General features: G+C 43.7%; 1 protein-coding gene and 1 pseudogene across 2 annotated transcripts, besides 3 other annotated features; one reads left to right on the top strand and one right to left on the bottom strand.

Moving 5' to 3' along the window:
* Positions 1-586: 586 nt before the first annotated feature.
* Positions 587-3,889, bottom strand: TXNDC2 (thioredoxin domain containing 2). Of its 2 annotated transcripts, none has more exons than NM_001098529.2 (2): positions 3,579-3,889; positions 587-3,273 (listed from the first exon to the last, which is right to left on the bottom strand). In NM_001098529.2, exons 1-2 carry the CDS (start codon positions 3,685-3,687, stop codon positions 1,721-1,723), a joined length of 1,662 nt encoding a protein of 553 aa, NP_001091999.1. In that variant the 5' UTR covers positions 3,688-3,889; the 3' UTR covers positions 587-1,720. The 2 variants fall into 2 exon arrangements, with proteins under 2 accessions (NP_001091999.1, NP_115619.4); NM_032243.6 differs by having other exon boundaries at positions 3,782-3,889.
* PIGPP4 (phosphatidylinositol glycan anchor biosynthesis class P pseudogene 4) lies at positions 8,993-9,284 on the top strand (annotated as a pseudogene).
* Positions 12,136-12,953: a transcriptional cis regulatory region, noted in NCBI's record as "candidate enhancer chr18.300 targeted for multiplex CRISPR interference". NCBI's record gives its function as "positively regulates RAB31 gene expression with high confidence in K562 cells {active_cell/tissue: K562}" and the evidence as "EXISTENCE:mutant phenotype evidence [ECO:0000015][PMID:30612741]".
* Positions 19,542-20,144: a transcriptional cis regulatory region, noted in NCBI's record as "candidate enhancer chr18.299 targeted for multiplex CRISPR interference". NCBI's record gives its function as "positively regulates RAB31 gene expression with high confidence in K562 cells {active_cell/tissue: K562}" and the evidence as "EXISTENCE:mutant phenotype evidence [ECO:0000015][PMID:30612741]".
* Positions 19,676-19,835: an enhancer, noted in NCBI's record as "active region_13079". NCBI's record gives its function as "activates an Ori minimal core promoter by ATAC-STARR-seq in GM12878 lymphoblastoid cells {active_cell/tissue: GM12878}" and the evidence as "EXISTENCE:reporter gene assay evidence [ECO:0000049][PMID:35858748]".

Raw genomic sequence — 20,456 nt, 5'->3', positions numbered from 1 at the left:
TCCTGACCTCAGGTGATCCACCCACCTTGGCCTCCCAAAGTGCTGGGATTACAGGTGTGAGCCACCGCGCCCAGTCCCAGTCTTGAACTTAAGATAGGGATTGCAACTCAGCTGGCTAAGTGAAGAAGCCAGCCAGGTTCTGCAGCAGAAGACTGGAGAGAGTGCGCCCTATCAGATGGAGGCAGCTGCCGCTCAGACCCGAAGGTTAGATTGGTTTTCTTGAGGTAAGGCAAGCCTGGATTGCCAGATCTTACAATTTTTCAAGAAAAGCTAGACATCTAGATTTTTTTTTTAAATCCTGATATTTGAAATGTTGGCAACAAATTCAAATTTTTAAAAACACTCTGGACCAGCAAAAAGTAGAATGGTGACTGCCAGAGGGTGGGGGAAGGGGCAACGGGGAGTTGTTCGATGGGTGTTAAATTTCAGCCACACCGATGAGTAAGTTCCACAGATCTGCTGTGCGGCATCATGCCCCTAGTTAACAGTACAGTACTGGGCACTTAAAAATGTGTTAGGAGAGTAGATCTGTTAAGTGCTTTTACCATGATAGTAATAACAATAAAGCACAGTGACACAAGGAAACTTCTGGAGGCAATGAAGGTGTTAATTACTTTGATGGTGGAGATGGCAATCAAGGGCATATGCAACACATCCAAACTCATCCAACTCCCTCCATTAAATATGTGCTGTTCTTTGTATATCAATTATACCTAATGAAGCTGGTTTTATTCATTTTTAAAAACCCACTCTGGACTAAGCCTCTGTCTATGGTTCAGACCTGGGACTTTGGGCTCATAGACATCTGGGGCTCACTAAGTTGTCCAAACAAGACTCTGGTAGCACTGTGATTAGGTTAATTCATTAAAGTCTAGGCCTATATGTCTAAGCTGGTAGAGTCATGTTAAAGGCTGGCTTGTTCAATATTGAAAATAAGAACAAATTTAAGTAAAAAAGTCAGAGGAAGGTCTAGGTATTATGAACTCAATTACCAGGGAGACGAACCAGGAACTCTGCCATCAGGGCACTGATGTCATAAAGGCAGCAAAGATCCAGAGGACTTCAACCTCCGAGAAACCTGAAGTTCCGACCTCTTGTCTGAGATTTTGTGAGCGTAGATTATAGTAGGTAGAGCCCTGGACTTGAAATCTGGAAGCGGCCTTGATCTCATTTCCGTCACCAACAAATCAGATCTTGGAAAACCCACTGAATTTCCCAAGGCCTCCGTAGCACTTCCGGCACAAGAAGGAGGTTAGCTAAGATGTGAATCTTTCAAATTCCTTATTTCCAAACATATCTTATCAGAATCCCCAAAGATGTGTGACATGAGAAAAGAAGTTTCCATTCACCTTTCAGTCATCTACCTCTATAGAAAAATTATCTAAATTTTCAGTCTTGCTGCAAACACTAAATGCGTGAAATTTTCAAAGACAAGTGAAAAATAAATACATATCAAGATTGAAAAATAGGAAACCATGGGACTTAGCAGTCTTCACCATGGGAATTTCTAATTTTATACTCTCCCACTAACAGAAACACAGTCGCAATGTACTTTAATGCTTGGACTGTTTTTTGAAAAGGGTAGAGTTAATATTATCATGTACAAGCAGTGCCATTTGGACATACACTTTTGTTATACCTGATCACTTTGTGTAAATAATAAAAGAGAACTCAAAAGCTATAAACACCTGACTGTCTGCAATGTTTTCAGAATACATGTTTACTTTAATTCTGCAATGACTGCTTCAAGTTTTTCCTTAAGGGCGCCGCAAAGTTCATCCACCTTTTCTTCTTTTTTATAAAACTGAAAGGTTGGGACACACATGATGGCGCACTCTCTCACCACCTCCTCACAGTTGTCAGCGTCCACCTCCAGGAACACCACATCCTCATGCTTCACAGACAGGGCATGGAAGAATGGTCTGATGGTCCTGCAGGGCCCACACCACGTGGCCGAGAAGTCCACAGCCACCAGCCTCTCCCCGGCCTCCTTCAGTGATGCCTCAAAGTCCTCCTTGCTCAGGATCACTTTCACCTTGTCCCCCTCCGGGAACTCCATTGTTTCTTCTTCAGGCTTTAGGATGTCACCCTCCTTGGATGGGGTGGCTTCTTCTAGGGACTTGGGGCTGTCATCCTCCTTGGGCTGGATGGTTTCTTCTGGGGACTTGGGGATGTCAATCTCCTTGGGTGGGATGGCTTCCTCTAGGGACTTGGGAATGTCACCCTCCTTGGGCTGGATGGCTTGTTTTGGAGACTTGGGAATGTCACCCTCCTTGGGCTGGATGGCTTCTTCTGGGGACTTGGGGATGTCACCCTTCTTGGGCTGGATGGTTTCTTCTGGGGACTTGGGGATGTCACCCTCCTTAGGCTGGATGGCTTCCTCTAGGGACTTGGGGATGTCACCCTCCTTGGGCTGGATGGCTTCTTCTGGGGACTTGGGGATGTCACCCTCCTTGGGCTGGATGGCTTCCTCTAGGGACTTGGGGAGGTCACCCTCCTTGGGCTGGATGGCTTCTTCTGGGGACTTGGAGATGTCACCCTCCTTGGGCTGGCTGGGCTTCACTGAGGCCTTGGGAATATTGCCCAGCTTGGGCTGGATGGGCTTTGCTGAGGACTTGGGGATGTCACCCTCCTTGGGCTGGATGGTTTCTTCTGGGGACTTGGGGATATCACTCTCCTTGGGCTGGCTGGGCTTCACTGAGGTCTTGGCAATATTGCCCAGCTTGGGCTGGATGGGTTTTGCTGAGGACTTGGGGATGTCACCCTCTTTGGGCTGGATGGCTTCTTCTGAGGACTTGGGGAGGTCCTCCTTCTTGGATTGGATGGTTTCTTCTGGGGCCTTGGGGATGTCACCCTCCTTGGGCTGGCTGGGCTTCACTGAGGCCTTGGGAATATTGCCCAGCTTGGGCTGGATGGGTTTTGCTGAGGACTTGGGGATGTTACTCTCTTTGGGCTGGATGGCTTTTTCTGAGGACTTGGGGAGGTCCTCCTTCTTGGATTGGATGGTTTCTTCTGGGGCCTTGGGGATGTCACCCTCCTTGGGCTGGATGGTTTCTTCTGAGGACTTGGGGCTGTCATCCTGCTTGGGATGGCTGGTGTTTGCTGAGGACTTGGGTAGGTCATCGCCCTCCTGTGAGGCATCAGACTCCTCTGTGCGCATGTGGAACGTGTGGCTGACCATGGGGAGAAAGGCCTTCTCTTTGGCCTGGGCTATTTCCAAGAACTCTAGGGCCAGGAGAGGCACGTTGCTGGACAGGACTAGTAATGAGCTTTCTGTACCAAAAAACATAAAATAAAATAAAATAAAATAAATCAAATAGAAATGCAAAAGAAGAACCAAAGAAATTCTCTTCATATTCCAAGGAAGACTGATGTCACTCTTCGAGATCACGAATGAAGTCTGATGAATGATGTATTAATCTGAAAAACTCATTCAGCAGAAGGACAAACAGCGTGTGGTTACACGTATCTTCTGTATACATGTTCTTAAGCTACAACTTTCCCTTCTTGGTTCAACACCCTGCCCGCTCCCTAACTGCATAGGTCTTTAAGGCAACCCTCTTTCCTCCCCTACTTACCATTAGCATCACCTTCACTTGTTTCTTCCTGAGTGCCCAGCCTCATTTCTGGTTTTCCAGAGGCTCCAGCTTTAACACTTTCCATTCCTAGTTCCTTGTCTACATCCATTCCTGATCCTTCATAGATGCCTCATAGTAAAGGCCGTACCCTCCAACTTTTTCCAAGCTATCCATCCTAACATCAAAATATGAGTAAAACTTACATTTGGGTGGCACGTTACAGTTGGTTTTCCCTCTCTGTATTCACAACAGTGATATTTGAGAGCTTCAAGGTGGCTCCCCTGTGCTGAGGCTGGGACTACGCATTCACTGGCATCATTTCCTAGAACACAACAAACCACTGAGGTCAGAACCATTATGATGAGTAGTTTACACATGAGAAGCTATGTAGCTCACTTAAGGTCACAAAGCTAGGGTGGGGGCAGGCTCCAAAGCTCATGCTCTGCACTGTGAGGCTGTGCTGGACTGCTCGCCACAAGTCCCGTCCAGCCTGGGTTCTGTGAATCAACCATCTTATCATCTTTCTCCAGGATCCCCCAGCTCCAACATTCTCTTTACGACTCACCCATTGTGACCAGCTCCTAAGTATCTCCTCGAAACCATGTTAGCCTCCTCTGCAAAGTGTCCCACAATGTCAAATGTTCAGCTCCTGCTAGACAGCCTCTTTCCCCACCTCCCCCACCTCCCAGGCGCACCAGCCCAGCCTGTGCCCTCCCCCATGCAGACACATCCAAGTACACGGCTCTTCCAGCCTTTACATACAGGAGAACAACCTCTTTGTGAATAATCCTGGTTCCATAAGCCACATCTACCCCATCCTGTGGAATGGGAAGCCAAATACCTGTCCCCCAGGGAGACTTATTTTATTAGTTCAGGACCACTGGCTCATTTTCCACCCTCACTCTGCACAACACATCCAGTCCAAGGCAGGAAGAATCAGTGTGGAATTTTGCCTTCTCTACATGTACTTTGAACAAATCCTCATATGTTTCAGTTTCACCCCAACAATATAAGTGTTGAAAGTGGTCAGGCATGGTGGCTCACACCGTGATCTCAGTACTTTGGGAGGCCAAGGTGGGAGGATTTCTTGAGCCCAGGAGTTTGAGATCAGCCTAGGCAACATAGCAAGACCCCATCTCTACAAAAAATACAAAACCTAGCCAGGCACAGTGGCACACGCCTGTCCCAGCTACTTGGGAAGCTGAGGTGGGAGGCTTGCTTGAGCCAGTGAGTTCAAGACTGCAGTGAGCCGTGATCACTACATCGTACTCTAGCCTGGGCAACAGAGCAAGGCCCCGTCTCTAAAAACTAAAAATAAAAGTGTTGAAATCTAAATGATAAGACCTCCACATTGTCAATAGAAACCTCGAAACATCTAATGGCAATGGTTCAATTATCTGGATTTTTATACCAAAACACATTTTACTAAGGGGTAGAGAGACTATTGGCCTTAGCAAATCCATAGTTCCTTTTTTTTTTTTCTTTGAGACAGTCTTGCCCTGTCACCGAGGCTGGAGTGCAGTGGCACAATCTCGACTCACTGCAACCTCTATCTCCCAGGTTCAAGCAATTCTCTTGCCTCACCCTCTCGAGTAGCTGGGATTACAGGCATTCACCACCACACCCGGCTAATTTTTGTATTTTTTTTAGTCGAGACAGGGTTTCACCATGTTAGCAAGGCTGGTCTCTAACTCCTGACCTCAAACGATCCACCTGCCTCAGCCTCCCAAATTGCTGGGATTACAGGCGTGAGCCACCATGCCTGGCCCAGCAAATCCGTAGTTCTTGATGATATGAATCCTGTTCCAGGAAGAGCTCATGCTTCCACTCCGTTTCCTCGGTTACTGCCAAAGAAAGCTCTTCCCTCTCTCACTGGGAGACTTTGGGCCTTTCTTATGTGATATTTTAAAGGACGGGAGGTTGTCTTCACTCTCCAATGCCAACGGCTTCCACAGCTGACAGGACTGTTTTTCATGGTGCCCTATTTTAAAGCAGAGGATGAAAATAAACGTCAGGCACTTATCTGGGCAATGTCTTCTTTCTTAGTGTTAGGAGAAAGGAGGTGAAGCGGGGAGGATAGGCATCATTTGCAGAAACCATCATGAGCAGATTTTATTAGCACAAAGTGGGCAGCATCTTTGGCCCTTGCTCATTGGTAAGTTAATTTACTTCCTGGGACCCTATCTTGTACAGGGTCCCTGCTGTTTGGAAGGGAGTGGATGAGGACACAGAGGAACTCCATCGCTGAGAGGCAGAAGTGAAAACATCACTCCTGCCATCCCAGTAGATGTGGAGGCAAGAGGACAGATGCCTGTGTCCCGGCCTCCTTTCTCCAGGTTGATTGCCAGCACAGATACTAATCAGATGTGCTACTCTACTAAAAATGCGATTTTAGATCTCTACTAAAAATACGAAAGTTAGCCGGATGTGGTGACAAATGTCTGTAATCCCAGCTACTCAGGAGGCTGAGGCAGGAGAATCGCTTGAACCTGGGAAGCAGAGGTTGCAGTGAGCGGAGATGGTGCCACTGCACTCTAGCCTGAGCAACAGAGCAAGACTCTCTCAAAAAAAGAAAAAAAAAAAAGATAAAAAAAGACTTGCAGCTGAAAGCAGAGGGGCATCTGCCTCCTGCTCCACTTGGAAGGCCAGGATGAGCCCACGTGGACTTCACATCCAACACAGCACTGTCCTCGTGCAGCGTGGCCCCTAGTAGAGGGTAAGAATGGATGTGTGGACCTGGGGCAGGCCCCACAGCCTGCAGGGAGGAGGTTAAAGATCTAGCAACGATGTACACCTCAGAGAGTGGCTGGGAGTGCTCTGAGACTGGTGAAAGATAGAGGCCTAGAGGAAGAAGACTCAGAGGAGGAGGATCTGTGACCAGAGGCAAGGACTGGAATCACAGACTCCAGCAGTGAGTAACATCACGATGCCCCTGTCCTAAATGGAATCAGTGGGTCCTTCAAGAGATCTCAGGCTGGGGACCAGGCCAGACCAGCCAATTCACATGGGAAACCAGCACGGGACCAGAGCACCCGGCACGTTTATCCGTGTAGCCCTGGGCATCCAGACACTATGGACAAAGTGAGAACTCTGAAAGATTGCACCGCTACACCATGGAAAAGGGTTCTTTGAGCCAAAATTCCACAAACAGGCAAACTTAATTCGGTTTCCCTGCTCCTCACCATCCCACCCCAAAACCCATTGAGATAAGGCTCATGGGAAGGATGAGCCATTCTAGAGAAATGTATAAGTGATATTGTACCTGAATGTCTTAGTAAAAGAGAGGAAATCTGTGATCCTGTTACATTTATACTTGGAGATCTTCGTTGTGTTTTAGGTTTGGCACTTGTTCCTGATATTTTTACTCTTCCTTCTGCAATTCAGATGAATTCCAAGCAACTTGAAATATTAATTCTTCCACTGACTTGTCATAAAATGTATGTTTTCCTTCAGCAGAAGCTCATTCCCAAATAGCTCATGAGCCCTTATGTCACTCAGGTTGTGTCTCAGGAAACAGAAACAACCAGCTATTTTAGGCCTAGGATTATTTGGGCAATTATAAAACTGCTGGCGAGGCTGCCTGTTTAGGCTAGGTATCCCGGAATGATTCCCAGAACACTGAGCAATGATACAGAACAGGCTTGCCAGGATCATTACAACCTCCAGGATATCAGGAAGATAGGGAATTAGAAGACCACCACCCAAACTGTTAGCTTTAATAACCTTCTGCTACAGCCACCATCCAGGGGTGAGTCCGCCCCAGCCCCAACTCCCTCTGAGCCCAGAGATGGAGATGAGTTCTGGTCATCTGTTCCAACCCCCACTGAACCCCCGCAGACTGAGGCAGAGCTGATACTGTGGCCTCCTTCTCAAGAAGGTTCAGCTACTGGTGGATGCTAATTCATACCCAGCGACTCAGCTGCAAGGGAGTCAAGGGAACATGACTTTTTGTTCCCAGAAGGAACAAAGAAGGACACCAGAAGGAAGTTGGAATAAACACTGCATGTAAAGCCATTTCTACCACACCCTTACAAAGACAATATTATGCACAAAAATTTTTGTTTTTTGAGATGGAATTTCACTCTTGTCGCCCAGGCTGGAGTGCAATAGTGCAGTCTCGGCTCACTGCAACCTCTGCCTCCCGGGTTCAAGCAATTCTCCTGCCTCAGCCTCCCCAGTAGCCAGGATAACAGGCGCCCACCACCACGCCAGGCCAATTTTTGTATTTTTAGTAGAGACGGGGTTTCACCACATTGGCCAGGCTGGTCTCGAACTGCAGACTTCAGGTGATCTGCCCACCTCAGCCTCCCAAAGTGCTGGGATTACAGGCCTGAGTCACTGTACCCGGCCTATGTATGAATTTTTTATATCTTTTGCTGGCATACATTTTTGGTTTATAATTACAAAAATAATATGTGTTCATAATATAAAAATTAGAAAACAGATAAGTAAAAAGAGAATAAAAATTACTCGTAGTTCTTCATACCTCAGGAATCATTGCTATAATAGTGTGATGTACATTCTTTGTCTTTTGTCTATTCACATGTAGATATTTTCTTTTTTTTTTTTTAAGAGATAGGGTCTCACTGTGTCACCCAGGCTGGAGTGCAGTGGTGCCATCATTAGTCACTGCAGCCTCAAACTCCTGGGCTCCAGCAATCTTCCTGCCTCAGCCTCCCAAGTACCTGGGACTATAGGTGAGGACCACCATGTCCAGCGAATTGTTTTTTGTTTGTTTGTTTGTTTTGAGATGGAGTCTCACTCTGTTGCCCTGGGCTGGAGGGCAATGGCGCAATTGCAATCTCCGCCTCCCGAGTTCGAGCGATTCTCTTACCTCTGCCTCCCGAGTAGCTGGGATTACAGGCACATGCCACCATTCCTGGCTCATTTTTGTACTTTTAGTAGAGATGGGGTTTCACCATGTTGGCCAGGCTGGTCTTGAACTCCTGACCTCAAGTGATCTGACAGCCTCAGCTTCCCAAAGTGCTGGGATTACAGGCGTGAGCCACCGCGCCCGGCCTGTTTTGTTGTTGTTGCTGTTGTTTTAAAAAATTGTATAGATACAGGGTCTCACTATGTTGCCCAGGGTGGTCTCAAACTCTGGGTTCAAGCAGTCCTCCTGCCTTGGCCTCCCAAACTGCTTAGATTACATGTGTGAGCCACTGCACCTGGCAGATATTTTCAGATGAGATAATTTTCCAGAAAATATACTATTTTGTAATCATTTTCACTTAAGAATGTATTTCCATGTTTCCTCCAGTGAAGGTCACCGGGCGCCTGTAATGCGGGTAGGGCAGGGAATGGGGAGGGCACCTCAGGGCCTTGGGCCTCTCCTCAATTTTTCCTCCCTTGTACCTTGAGTCCCTCGGTCTATGCTTGTGCAGAGAACACAGTGCTTATTTTATTATGAGATGTTATTTCTGAATTTTGGTGAAAATCCTTAGGCTTAACCTATTGGCATCAAAAACACTGGGCAGTTGTGTTATGTGTCTCCCTCCTTATTACTTATTTTAGTCATTGGCCAGGAACTCGTGTTTGGAATTAACATGATGAATCCCTCTCCACTCAACTCCATTCAGGCAATCACAGACTACTAAACTAAAAATCAACAATGGAAGAAATGCCAGGAAGAGGCCATCCCAGCATTAAGAGATACTCTTATCATCAAAGTAAACCAAATGTTCTTTCTTGCAGCCAAATAACTTTTTTTTTTTTTTTTTTTTTTGAGACAGAGTCTCACTGTATCACCCAGGCTGGAGTGCAGGGGCGTGATCTCGACTCACTGCAACCTCCGCCTCCTGGGTTCAAGTGATTCTCCTCCCTCAGCCTCCCAAGCAGCTGGGATTTCAGGCACCCGCCACCACACTCCGTTAATTTTTGTATTTTTAGTAAAGACAGGGTTCCACCATGTTGGCCAGGCTGGTCTCAAATTCCTGACCTCAGGTGATCCACCCGCCTTGGCCTCCCAAAATGTGGGGATTACAAGCATGAGTCACTGCATCTGGCCTCCAAAGAACCTTACAGCAAAAACTGAACTATATGTAGACATGCTAACACCAACCACTTATTTATGTTTTTGACATCATAAGTTTGACCATAATTATTTTGACTATCTCTCTTATTTAGATGGTACTGAGACATAAAGAAAAATAAATTTAGGCCAGGCATGGTGGCTCAGACCTGTAATCCCAGCACTCAAATGTGGGTGGATCATTTGAGGTCAGGAGTTCAAGACCAGCCTGGCCAACATGGTGAAACCCCGTCTCTACTAAAAATACAAAAATTAGCTGGGCATGGTGGCGGGCACCTGTAGTCCCAGCTACTCAGGAGGCTGAGGCAGAAGAATCGCCTGAACCCGGGAGGTGCAGGTTGCAGTAAGCCGAGATCACACCACTGCATTCCAGCCTGGGCAACAGAGTGAGACTCTACCTCAAAGAAAAAAAAAAATTAATTTGAACTCCTCCTAGATTAAGTCTCATTAATATTGTAAATGTTCTCAGATATTAGTTAATAATGAACAGAATAAGTGAAATATTATATTACCATAAAAATAAATGTTTTTGGCCCCGCAGGATAGCACATGCCTGTAGTCTCAGCTATGCTGGAGGCCGAGGCAGGAGGATTGCTTGAGCCCAGGAATTGGAGTCCAGCCTAGGCAACATAGCAAGATCCTGTCTATAAATAAGTAAATAAATAAATGTTCTTTAGGACAGATTTTGAGTATTTTTCATGTCAAAACATGCTCACCTATAGCAGGAGTCAGCAAGTTTTTCCGTAAGGGGCAGATAACTATTTCAGACTTCACAGACCACACTTCTGTCAGAACTACTCAACTCTGCTGTTGAGTATGAACACATGAAACAGTAGCACGAAAGCAGCTATTATGGGTTCAGCGTGCCCCCCCAAAATTCATATGCTGGAGTCTTAATCCCCAGTACCTCAGAATGTGACCTCGTTTTTGGAAATAGGGTGATTGCAGATATAACTAGTTAAGATGAAGTTATATAAGAGTAGAGTGGGGCCCCTCATCCAGTATGACTGATATCCTTATAAAGAGGGGGAAATGTGGACGCAGACATGCACAGTGAGAAGACAATGTGAAGAGGCATGGGGAGAAGACGGCCATCTACAAGCCAAGGAGAGAGGCCTGGAACAGATCCTTCACTCACAGCTCTCAGAACACCTCGATTGGATTTCTAGCCTCCAGAACTGTGAGACAATCCATTTCTGTTGTTGAAGCCACCCCATTTGTGGTGGTTTGTTACAGCGGCCCTAGCAAACTAGCAGCAGATATAGAAGCCACACACAGTACATAAATGTATGGGCACGGCTGTGTCCCAATAAAACTTTATTTACAAAAAAGGGCAGCTGACCAATGGGCCATAGTTTGCCAACCCCTGACCTATATAACCATTTTTAATGGCTGATTAGTGTTCTTTCGAATGGATGAATTATAGTTTATTTAAATAATTTTCTATTGGTGGGTAAAAGTTGGTTTTGATTCTTTACTATTATAAACAATGTAGTAATAAACTTATTTATGAAGAAGTCTTTCCACATACTAATTTTCTTCTTAGAAAAATTATAAAAATGGAATCCCTAGATCAATTAGCAGACATTCCAGAGACTTTTTGATAGATATTGCCAAATGTTCTTAAGAAAAGCTGTTCTATCAGCAAGGTATTAAAGTGCAATTGATGGACAAAAAAGTTGTCATTATTAACAATTTGCATTTCTTGACTGAACATTAGTATGTTATTAGTAACAATTTGCATTTCTTTATTGAAATTTTAAAAATATTTATCATCAATTTCCATTTCTTTCTTTACAAATTGCTATATCATGGCCTTTGCTTAATATTTCTTGAAGGGAAGGCATATCCATATATATTAATTTTCTTAGCATATGTACTTATATATAATTTCCTTTTACCAGTCATTGTCATAGTTTTTTCTCAGTTTCCCTTTTAATTTCATTGATGATATTTTGGGAACAATACATAGATGCTTCCATTTTTGTGTAGTCAAATCTATCATTTTCTCTTTTCCGATTTCTCCTGGTGATATATTTAAATATAAACTTCTGAACTTTTGATTCTGAGACTGCCTCCTTTACAGCCCCAAATCAGTAATAATAGTAATAGCAATAATATTTTTATTGTATAATAATTTTTTTAGTACTATTATTTATAGTACTAAAACTTTGGAGGATTTAATTCAATGAGAATTCTAATACGAGGAAATAGTTTAAAGTGAAGTTAGTCTGCAATTCACTCCTTTTGCTACCTTATTAAAAATTCAACCATCTCAGAGAGTTAAAGAGAGCATGTTTATACATTAAGGGCTTTTTTTTTTTAGTACTACATATACTCCAGTGCCCACCAATTTACTGTGGAATAATAAAAATATGCTCCCTATAAAGATTCAGACTCTTGGTTATTTAGCCTAATGGATAGGCAATGGGGAGGCAGAAATTTAATATGGATCACCACTAATCAACACAGTAAGATGCAAAGTGGGTGCATTTTGTGGAATTTTGTAAGAAAAGAGCCCTGCTAGAAATCATATCTCCAAATTAAGATTTGGAGGTAAAAGAATCTTAACCCTATTATCAAGTAAAAAAGGGTAACGTCTGAGGCACTAGAAGGCAATACTATGAAAAAGCAAAGCTTTTTATTGCAAGTCAACTAGCAAAGAGACCAGCCCAGCTCAAATTTGTCTCCCTGTGCTGGCTTCAAGGCGGTAATCTTATCAGGAAAGGATTAGGGGGTGGATTCCGGGATTAGTAGATAATTGGTGGAAGGAAAGGGGAGGTCTGGAAACTCCTCGGACATGCACAGTTATCTCTTGATAACTGCCACCTCATGAGTTGCGTGTATAAATTTCAGGGGGAGTTAGTATGAAACACATGGTGGAAACATGGGCTGTGACATCAGCAAGCCTGTTCTGTGCAAAATCCAGTTGGCCATTTTGGTTCCAACCGATTTCAGCCAGTTTTGAAATCTCACAAGCTGAGGGAGTGTCAGCATTTCAACAAATGGTTTCTTTTTATCTGCCATCCTGCAAACTCAAGAATTTCTGTTAGTCATTGGTTTCTTACTCTTTGGGGCGTAGTTTCAGTTTAAACTTTGTTTCTTTTCTTATCTGCTATCTTGTAAGCCCAAGAATTTCTGTTAGTCATTGTTTCTTTAACTCTCCGGGGGCAGTTTTAACCCCAAGCTCTCTATCCTAGTTACAGTACTAACTGGGGCACACAGGCGGCTGTCCCTTACCTCTGACATTCCTTCCAATCTTTACTCCAGAGAGAAGCAGCCCTTTGGGCATAATAATGCGTTTTTACATAAACTTTTAATTTTAGAATACATATGTTCATAGAAAAGTTTCAAGGATAGTACAGAGTTCCCATACACCCCACATCCAATTTTCTCCACTGTTAACATCTTAGATTACTATGGTATGCTTGTCACAACTAAGGAGCCAACATTGACATATTACTATTCACTAAAACCCATACTTTATTTGGATTCCATTAGTTTTTCCCCAACATCCTTTTTTTCTTTTTTCCAGGACCCCATCCAGGATACCAAGTTATATTTCATTGTCATGTTTCCTTAGGCTTCTCTCAGCTGTGACAGCTTCTCAGACTTTCCTTTTTTGATTGTCTTGACAGTTTTCAGAAGTACTGGTCAGATATTTTGAAAAATGTCTCTCAAGTGAGGTTTGTCTGGTGCGTTTCTCATGGTTAGACCAGGGTTACATGTTTTTAGAAGGAAGACCACAGAGGGAAAGTGTCATTTTCATCAACTTCATCACAAATTAAACATATCAAGGGTTGATACTATCAAACATTGCTTATCACTGATGATGTTGACCTTGACCACTTGGCTGAGGTGGTGTTTGTCAGGTTTCTCCAGAGTGAATGATTTTACTGTGAATAATTTTACCGTTTCCTTATAGTATGTACCCTTTGGAAGGAAGTCACCATGCACAGCCCATGCCCAAGGGTGGAGATTATGCTCTACTTCTTTGAGGGAGGAGTAGCCACAGAAATGATTTGGAATTCTTCTGTTTGGAATATTTGCCTCCCCCCCAAAATTTATTAATTCGATTATATATTAATATCAGTGTGGATTATGGGTATTTATTTATTTATTTATTTGAGACAGAGTCTCACTCTGTCGCCCAGGCTGGAGTGCAGTGGCACGATCTCAGCTCACTGCAAGCTCCACCTCCTGGGTTCAAGCGATTCTCCTTCCTCAGCCTCCCAAGTAGCTGGGATTACAGGCACCCACCACCACGCCCGGCTAATTTTTTGTACTTTTAGTAGAGACGGGGTTTCACTGTGTTAGCCAGGATGGTCTCGATCTCCTGACCTTGTGATCCACCTGCCTCGGCCTCCCAAAGTGCTGGGATTACAGGCATGAGCCACCGTGCCCGGCCGATTATGGATGTTTATTTTGTACTTTGGGTTATAATCCAATACTATGTTTTTATTTTCGGCTCAAATTGTCAGCTTTGGTCATTGAGAGCTCTTTCCGATGGCTTCTATGTCCTATTTGATATATACCTGCTGATTTGCTTTGTAAGCACTTCCTTACTTTCTGGCTCTGCAGGATACTCCTGGTTCATCCTGTATATTCACTGCCCGAGCCATAGAATCATCCATTTCTAGGTTTTTTAAAACTGGAGAATAGTATTTAGAAACCAAGACCTAGGCTAGGTGTGTTCATTGATGCTGGGTATCATTGTCTCTAGACCCTCCCCGTGAACATGATTAGGAAGTATATACATATATGTATGTGTATATATATGTATATATAGTAACCCTTGCATATACACAAATTATAATTACTTCTATATCTGCCTATCAGTATCTATATTAAGCCAAACATGAGTTCATACCGATGTCCTCAAGTCTAATTCAGTACCACGTGGCTCCTTTCAGCCTTTCTCTCTTGCTTGTCTGTAACCTTCTACTCCAAAAGTGACTTGGTTCCCATCATCCACCAACCATTTACCTATTTGCCCAATCCCAATATGCATGTAGAATGGTTTCAGGATAGTTAACCTGTACCTCCACGGTTAGCAACTTTATCAACTGGAGCACAGTGCTTGTACATATAGTTCCTTTTATCTTTAGTTTTATAGTTTCCCGCATTTCCAAAGTTACTTAACATCAGCATTTCTTTCTCCTGACACCTTCAGTGAAGTTATATCACACATTTGTAATATAGTTAAAGTCATGCACCACATAATGGCATTTGGTCAGTGATGGACTGCACATACAACAGTGGTCCCATAAGATTATAACAGAACTGAAAAATTCCTATTAGCTAGTGGCATCATGGCTGCCCTAATGTCATGGCAAAATTATTTTTAAAATAAATTTAGTGTAGACTAAAGGTACAGTGTTTATAAAGTACACAATAATGTACAGGCATGTCTCAGGCTTTTACATTCACCGCTCACTCACTGACTCACCCAGAGCAACTTCCTATGTACAGAAAGTGCCCTATGAAGATGTACCATTTTAACTTTTTTTGTTTTTGAGATGGAGTTTCGCTCTTGGCATCCAGGCTGGAGTGCAACGGCACGATCTCGGCTCACTGCAACCTTCACCTCCCAGGTTCAAGTGATTCTTCTGCCTCAGCCTCCCAAGTAGCTGGGATTACAGGCACCCACCGTCACACCCAGCTATTTTTGTATTTTTAGTAGAGACGGAGTTTTACCATGTTGGCCAGGCTGGTCTTGAACTCCTGACCTCAGGTGATCTGCCAGCCTCTGCCTCCCAAAGTGCTGGGATTACAGGCGTGAGCCACCACGCCCGGCCATTTCAATCTTTTATAGCATATTTTTACTGCATCTTTTCTATGTTTAGGTATGGATTAGGCACACAAATACCATCAAGTTATAATTGCCTACAGTATTCAGTATGGTAACATGCTCTAGGGGTTTATAGCCTAGGAGCAATAGGCTGTACTATCTACGTTTGTTTAATTTCACTCTATGATGTTCACACTATGATGAAACCACCTAATGACACATTTTTCAGAATGTATCCCTGTCATTAAGTGATGCATGACTGTATATTCTTTTTTGTTTTCTTTTTTTGAGACAGGGTCTCACTTTGTTGCCCAGTCTGGAGTGCAGTGGTGTGAACACAGGCTCACTGTAGCCTCAACCTCCCAAGCTCAAGCAATCCTGCCACCTCAGTCCCCCAAGTAGCTGGGACTACAGTTGTGCACCACAATGCCTGGCTAATTGTTGTATTTTTTTTGTAGAGACAGGGTATCGCTATGCTACCCAGGCTATGACTGTATATTCTTTTGTCACAATCTTCATTTCATCCTAGAACCCTGTTCTGTCGGTCGTTTTTTTCAAATTTGCATATATTATTTTGTGCTGTGGAGTCCTTTGGGTTTTGACAAATGGATGGGTTTTTTTTTGTTTGTTTGTTTTTTGTTTTTTGTGGGTTTTTTTTTTTTTTGACGGAATTTCACTCCTGTTGCCCAGGCTGGAGTACAATGTCACTATCTTGGCTCACTCTAACCTCCGCCTCCTGGGTTCAAGTGATTCTCCTGCCTCAGCCTCTTGAGCAGCTGGGATTACAGGCATCTGCCACCACGCCCAGCTAATTTTTTGTATTTTTAGTAGAGATGGGGTTTCACCATGTTGGCCAGGTTGGTCTCAAACTCCTGACCTCGTGATCCGCCCACCTTGGCCTCCCAAAGTGCTGGGATTACAGGCATGAGCCACTGCTCCCAGCCAATAGATGGTATTATTAACCACCACTACAGTACCATACAGAATAGTTTCATAGCCCTAAAAAAATATGTGCTTCACCTAGTCAGCCCTCATCCTTCTGCAAACCCACAGCAACCACTGATTTGCTCATTGTCTCTATAGTTTTGTCTTTCCAGAATGTCACAAAATGGAATAATATAGTATGCAACCTTCTCAGACTGACTTCTTTCTCTTAGCAATACGCATTTATGGCATTCCCATGTTGTTTTGTTTATTGTTTATTTCATCACTGAATAAAAAATTATAAACTTTAGTTAAACTCTGAAAAGCAGATCCTAAGACAAAAATTTGAGTGCAAGTAGTTTATTTGGGAGATAATCCCAGGAGACACTGGAGGGGGAGTTGGAAGGTGATCAAGTCAGTTGCCACTGTGTACAACTGAAGCTCACACCAAAGGCAAGCTGGGAGGGAGTAATGCCAACTCTCTAGACTTCATTGGAACATTTTGTCTAGGGGCAGTAAGCCTGGCACCTCTGCTTGCCCTAGGCACAGGCCCTGCATGTCCCCACAACCACCCTGAAAGCATCACAGGTGTTTGCAGTGAGCAGTCATCTGAGAATAGAGGCCAGTGCTAAGAAATTGTGCTTGGAGAGGGTACCTGCAATGTCTATTACAAGAGGTGAGCAGTATTAGCAGAAGAAAGATTTCTCTTCTAGATTCCACTCTAAAGAGTCTGAAAATCTAACTGAGGATCCATGGGTACCCTGCCAAGATAGAGCTGTGAGCAGTGGTCCTACTCTGACCACTTCTGACTTTCTAGTGTAATGTTTAAAGCTCTTTGGTGTAAGTATTTACTGAAAAATTCCATGTGGAGCTGCTTCGGTAAGATTCAGGGTAGGTGTAAGTTTGTTGATGTTTTAATACAAATATGCCACTAAAAATATTTATCAAATGCACCATAGTTCATGGTGTAAAGACGTTGCTGTCTGCTTGCTGTTCTTTGAATCTACCAACGCCCACCTTCTAAAGAAGCCAGACAAGTGAGCAGACTACTATAGGCTACATCTGCCTTCAGAACGAATGGAGCCACAGTGGGGTGGAGCAGGTAGAAAGAAGCAAAGCAGCAGGCCCCCAGTAATCATCTTTTAGTGTATTGTAGCTTCGACGTTCAGACAATGTTTAGATGTTCAGACAGATGGTCAATACCTTCCTTCCTGGGAAGGGTCCAAGCTCATTCTCACCGTAAGCAAATGTGGCATTCAGTGGGCCCTTAATGCATGAATGAATAAAGGCATGGATGGATTACAGCTTGTATAATGGAAAACAGTTGAAGAAGGTTTATACTAAAACACTTAATTTAAAAAATATTTTTGCTGAAATGATCTTTATGAACATCTGGCAGACCACCATCTCCACCTTAGCCTCTGAGTAAAGAAAAAGGAGAATCACTATATATTGTATGTATCAAAACATCACTATGTACCCCATAAATCTGTGCAATTATTATGCGTTAATTTTAAGAAATAAAGGAAATTGGAGAGAGGTGAAAGACACTATTCCCATGTTTCCAATACATCCAAAGTTTAAAATCATAATATTGAAAAACAAATGTTTAAACCAAAAAAAGGGTAAAATGTCACAGATTAACACAGTCCCGTCAGCACCATGCATTTCATGAAATGATGTTATATGGTACAAATCTCTCTTTCCCAGTCCAAATATAGGCTTCTTGAGGGTAAGATATGCCTTGGTATCTGCAGTCTTTACAGCGCAGTGTGGAATAACCCAGACACTCAATGAAAACTTGCACGATAGGATCAAAGTGCCCATATCTTGTGAGTTTCTCTTTTTTGACTCACGAAGGTCATCACAATTAACTTCCTGGTCTCCTGCTACAACACTGAGTGTAGAGAAGAAAAATGACATTTTAATACTAGACTCATGATGTTTAGTGCAAAAAATGCACTGTCTCTGGTGAACACGATTTGACCCTAACTTATAGGCTAACCTGCTGCCCCCAATTCTATGGTGACTCTGATTCCTCCTGGGGAGATCCAGGAAAGCCTCCTAAAATTGCTTCCCAGCCTCCGACGCAGGGTGGTATATTGCCAGGCAGAGAGGAGCAAAGATGGATGGCCTTCCAGTTAGGAGAAAGCAACCAGGGTGTGATGTGGGCAGGAGCAGGGACCCTGGGCAGCGATGGGGCCAGGATGGAGGCTGGGCTAAATGAAAGGGGCATTTCACCACAGGTTACAGAGTTGCAATTTTACTTAATTTGCAATAAGAGACTCACAGAAAGTTTTCAGGAAATGATACGATTTGCTGTGTACCTACATCACTCACTGCTAGCATATTCTATGCTAGCTCTGAGAGCCAAAGATAACAATCAAAGAGATCTACTGAGAAACTATCACTATAATCAAGATAGAACATATCAAAAGCCTATGCTAGGACAGTGGAAAGAAGGAAAAAAGGTTTGAGAAACTCAGAAATAGAATTTCCATGGTTTGGTCAGTGCTTGAAAGGAGCTGAAACTGGCTCTCAAATTTGAAGCCTGAGCCTCTGAGAGAATGAATGCAGCGCAGGAATGGCATTGTTAACAAGGTGCAACACTATTTGCATGCAAGAGGGGACTTCAGTACACCCATTCCGCAGCTGGAAATCAAGCTCTGATCTCTGGAAAGCAGTCAGGCTAGACAACAGTGTAGAAGCCAGACACCCAGAGGCAATAGTTGAAGCCATAAAGTTGGATGAAATCAGAAGGAAGGTGTACTGAGGAGAAATAGGAACACACGTTTGCAGGAAGTACCTGCATTTAAGCTCTAAGAAGAGCCAGCAAAGGAAAATGAAAAGGGCAGTAAAAGAAGTGCAGAAACCACAGAACCAGCTTCTGGGCTGGAGAAGGAGGGTCCAGGAGGGAGAGAGGGGCCCACAGCTTCACCTGCCCTCTGAGAGTGGAGAGTGGAAAGAGGGGATAGGCTTTGAAAGTGCAGAGCTGGGGGAGGGACTGAATTCAGGCGAGCAGTGACTAGATGATCAAGTGAGTACATCATGATTCTCATTTAAGAATTTCTTTAGTGAGAAGGGAAGAGAGGGTGGCTTGGAGGAGGAAAAAAAGACAGCTGATCAAAACTAGAGAAGATTTATGCATATAGGTAGGTTGATGGGAGGGGTAAAACAGTGCATGGGTGATTTTAAGATGAAAATAAAAACAAATAAGCAAAAAGCTTGGGGCGTGCCTTAGCAATGAGAGAAAAAGCACGCACACATCCAGAGAGAAGTGAAGTGAAGGAGAACCGAGAAAGCTGCCACCTATGGTCTGCCAGGCCCACCTGGGGACACCAGTTTGGGCACTGGGTTCTCAGAAGCTAATTCAGGGCATCGGGCCCTACAAAGTCAAGATGGCTGGACCTTGATGCATGAGTCATTTCAAAAAAGCCGGTTAAGAACTTCACTGAGGGTTGAGTAATGGTTTCAACATCAAGGTCAGGGACACAGAAAAGATAAATGAAGCTGCCCAAACGGTAGGGTCAAGGAGAGTCACCCCAGCAGTTTTGGATCAGACCTTCCCATCAAAGCAGCAAGTCTCCTTTAATTGGGTGATTCAGCATTTCCAGCCTGAGCTGGTTAACCCTTAACTCCCCTGTCAAAACTTCCTCTTGAGATGCAACAATGGGTTTTGGAATAGGACATAGGACGGACCTCCGCATGAATGCACTTGCCCTCCTTATGTCCCTTAAGCTCTCCATGCTCCTTCTGTAAAAGGAGAACAATTTCACATCTATCTCAGATTTGTTTTGCGGATAAAATGAGATACAGTTTGAAAGTAGCTCCTGGGAAATTTTCATTAATCATGGATCTCCTTTTCTTCATTCTTTTATTATGTGCAGCACTTATAATGAGAGGAAAGAAAGGAGAAAACAGTAGTAGCTGATCTTTGACTTTTGTCTCTCTTGATCAGAAAGTCTTGGGTAATTTACTTAACCTTCTGTGTCTGGGTTTCCTCACTTGTAAAGTGGAGATAATAGTGTCTGCCTCATAAAGGCTGTTGTAAAGATAAAAAGAGATAATATGATGTAAAGCCCCTAGAACTGTGTCTGGCACATAGCAAGCCCCTGTATTCATGTTGGCTGTT

The sequence above is a fragment of the Homo sapiens genome, chromosome 18 (genome assembly GCF_000001405.40).
Source record: "Homo sapiens chromosome 18, GRCh38.p14 Primary Assembly".
Taxonomy (NCBI): Eukaryota; Metazoa; Chordata; class Mammalia; order Primates; family Hominidae; genus Homo; species Homo sapiens.
The sequence above is the reverse complement of the archived record's forward strand: the minus strand, read 5'-3'. Positions and strand labels throughout refer to the sequence as shown.

Bases quoted from the DNA above. Each gene is read 5' to 3' on its own strand.
- TXNDC2 (NM_001098529.2), bottom strand. From the start codon at position 3,687: ATGGATGTAGACAAGGAACTAGGAATGGAAAGTGTTAAAGCTGGAGCC. The intron at 3,274-3,578 runs GTAAGTAGGGGA...TTTTTGGTACAG, and splicing joins AAGTGAAGGTGATGCTAATG to AAAGCTCATTACTAGTCCTG.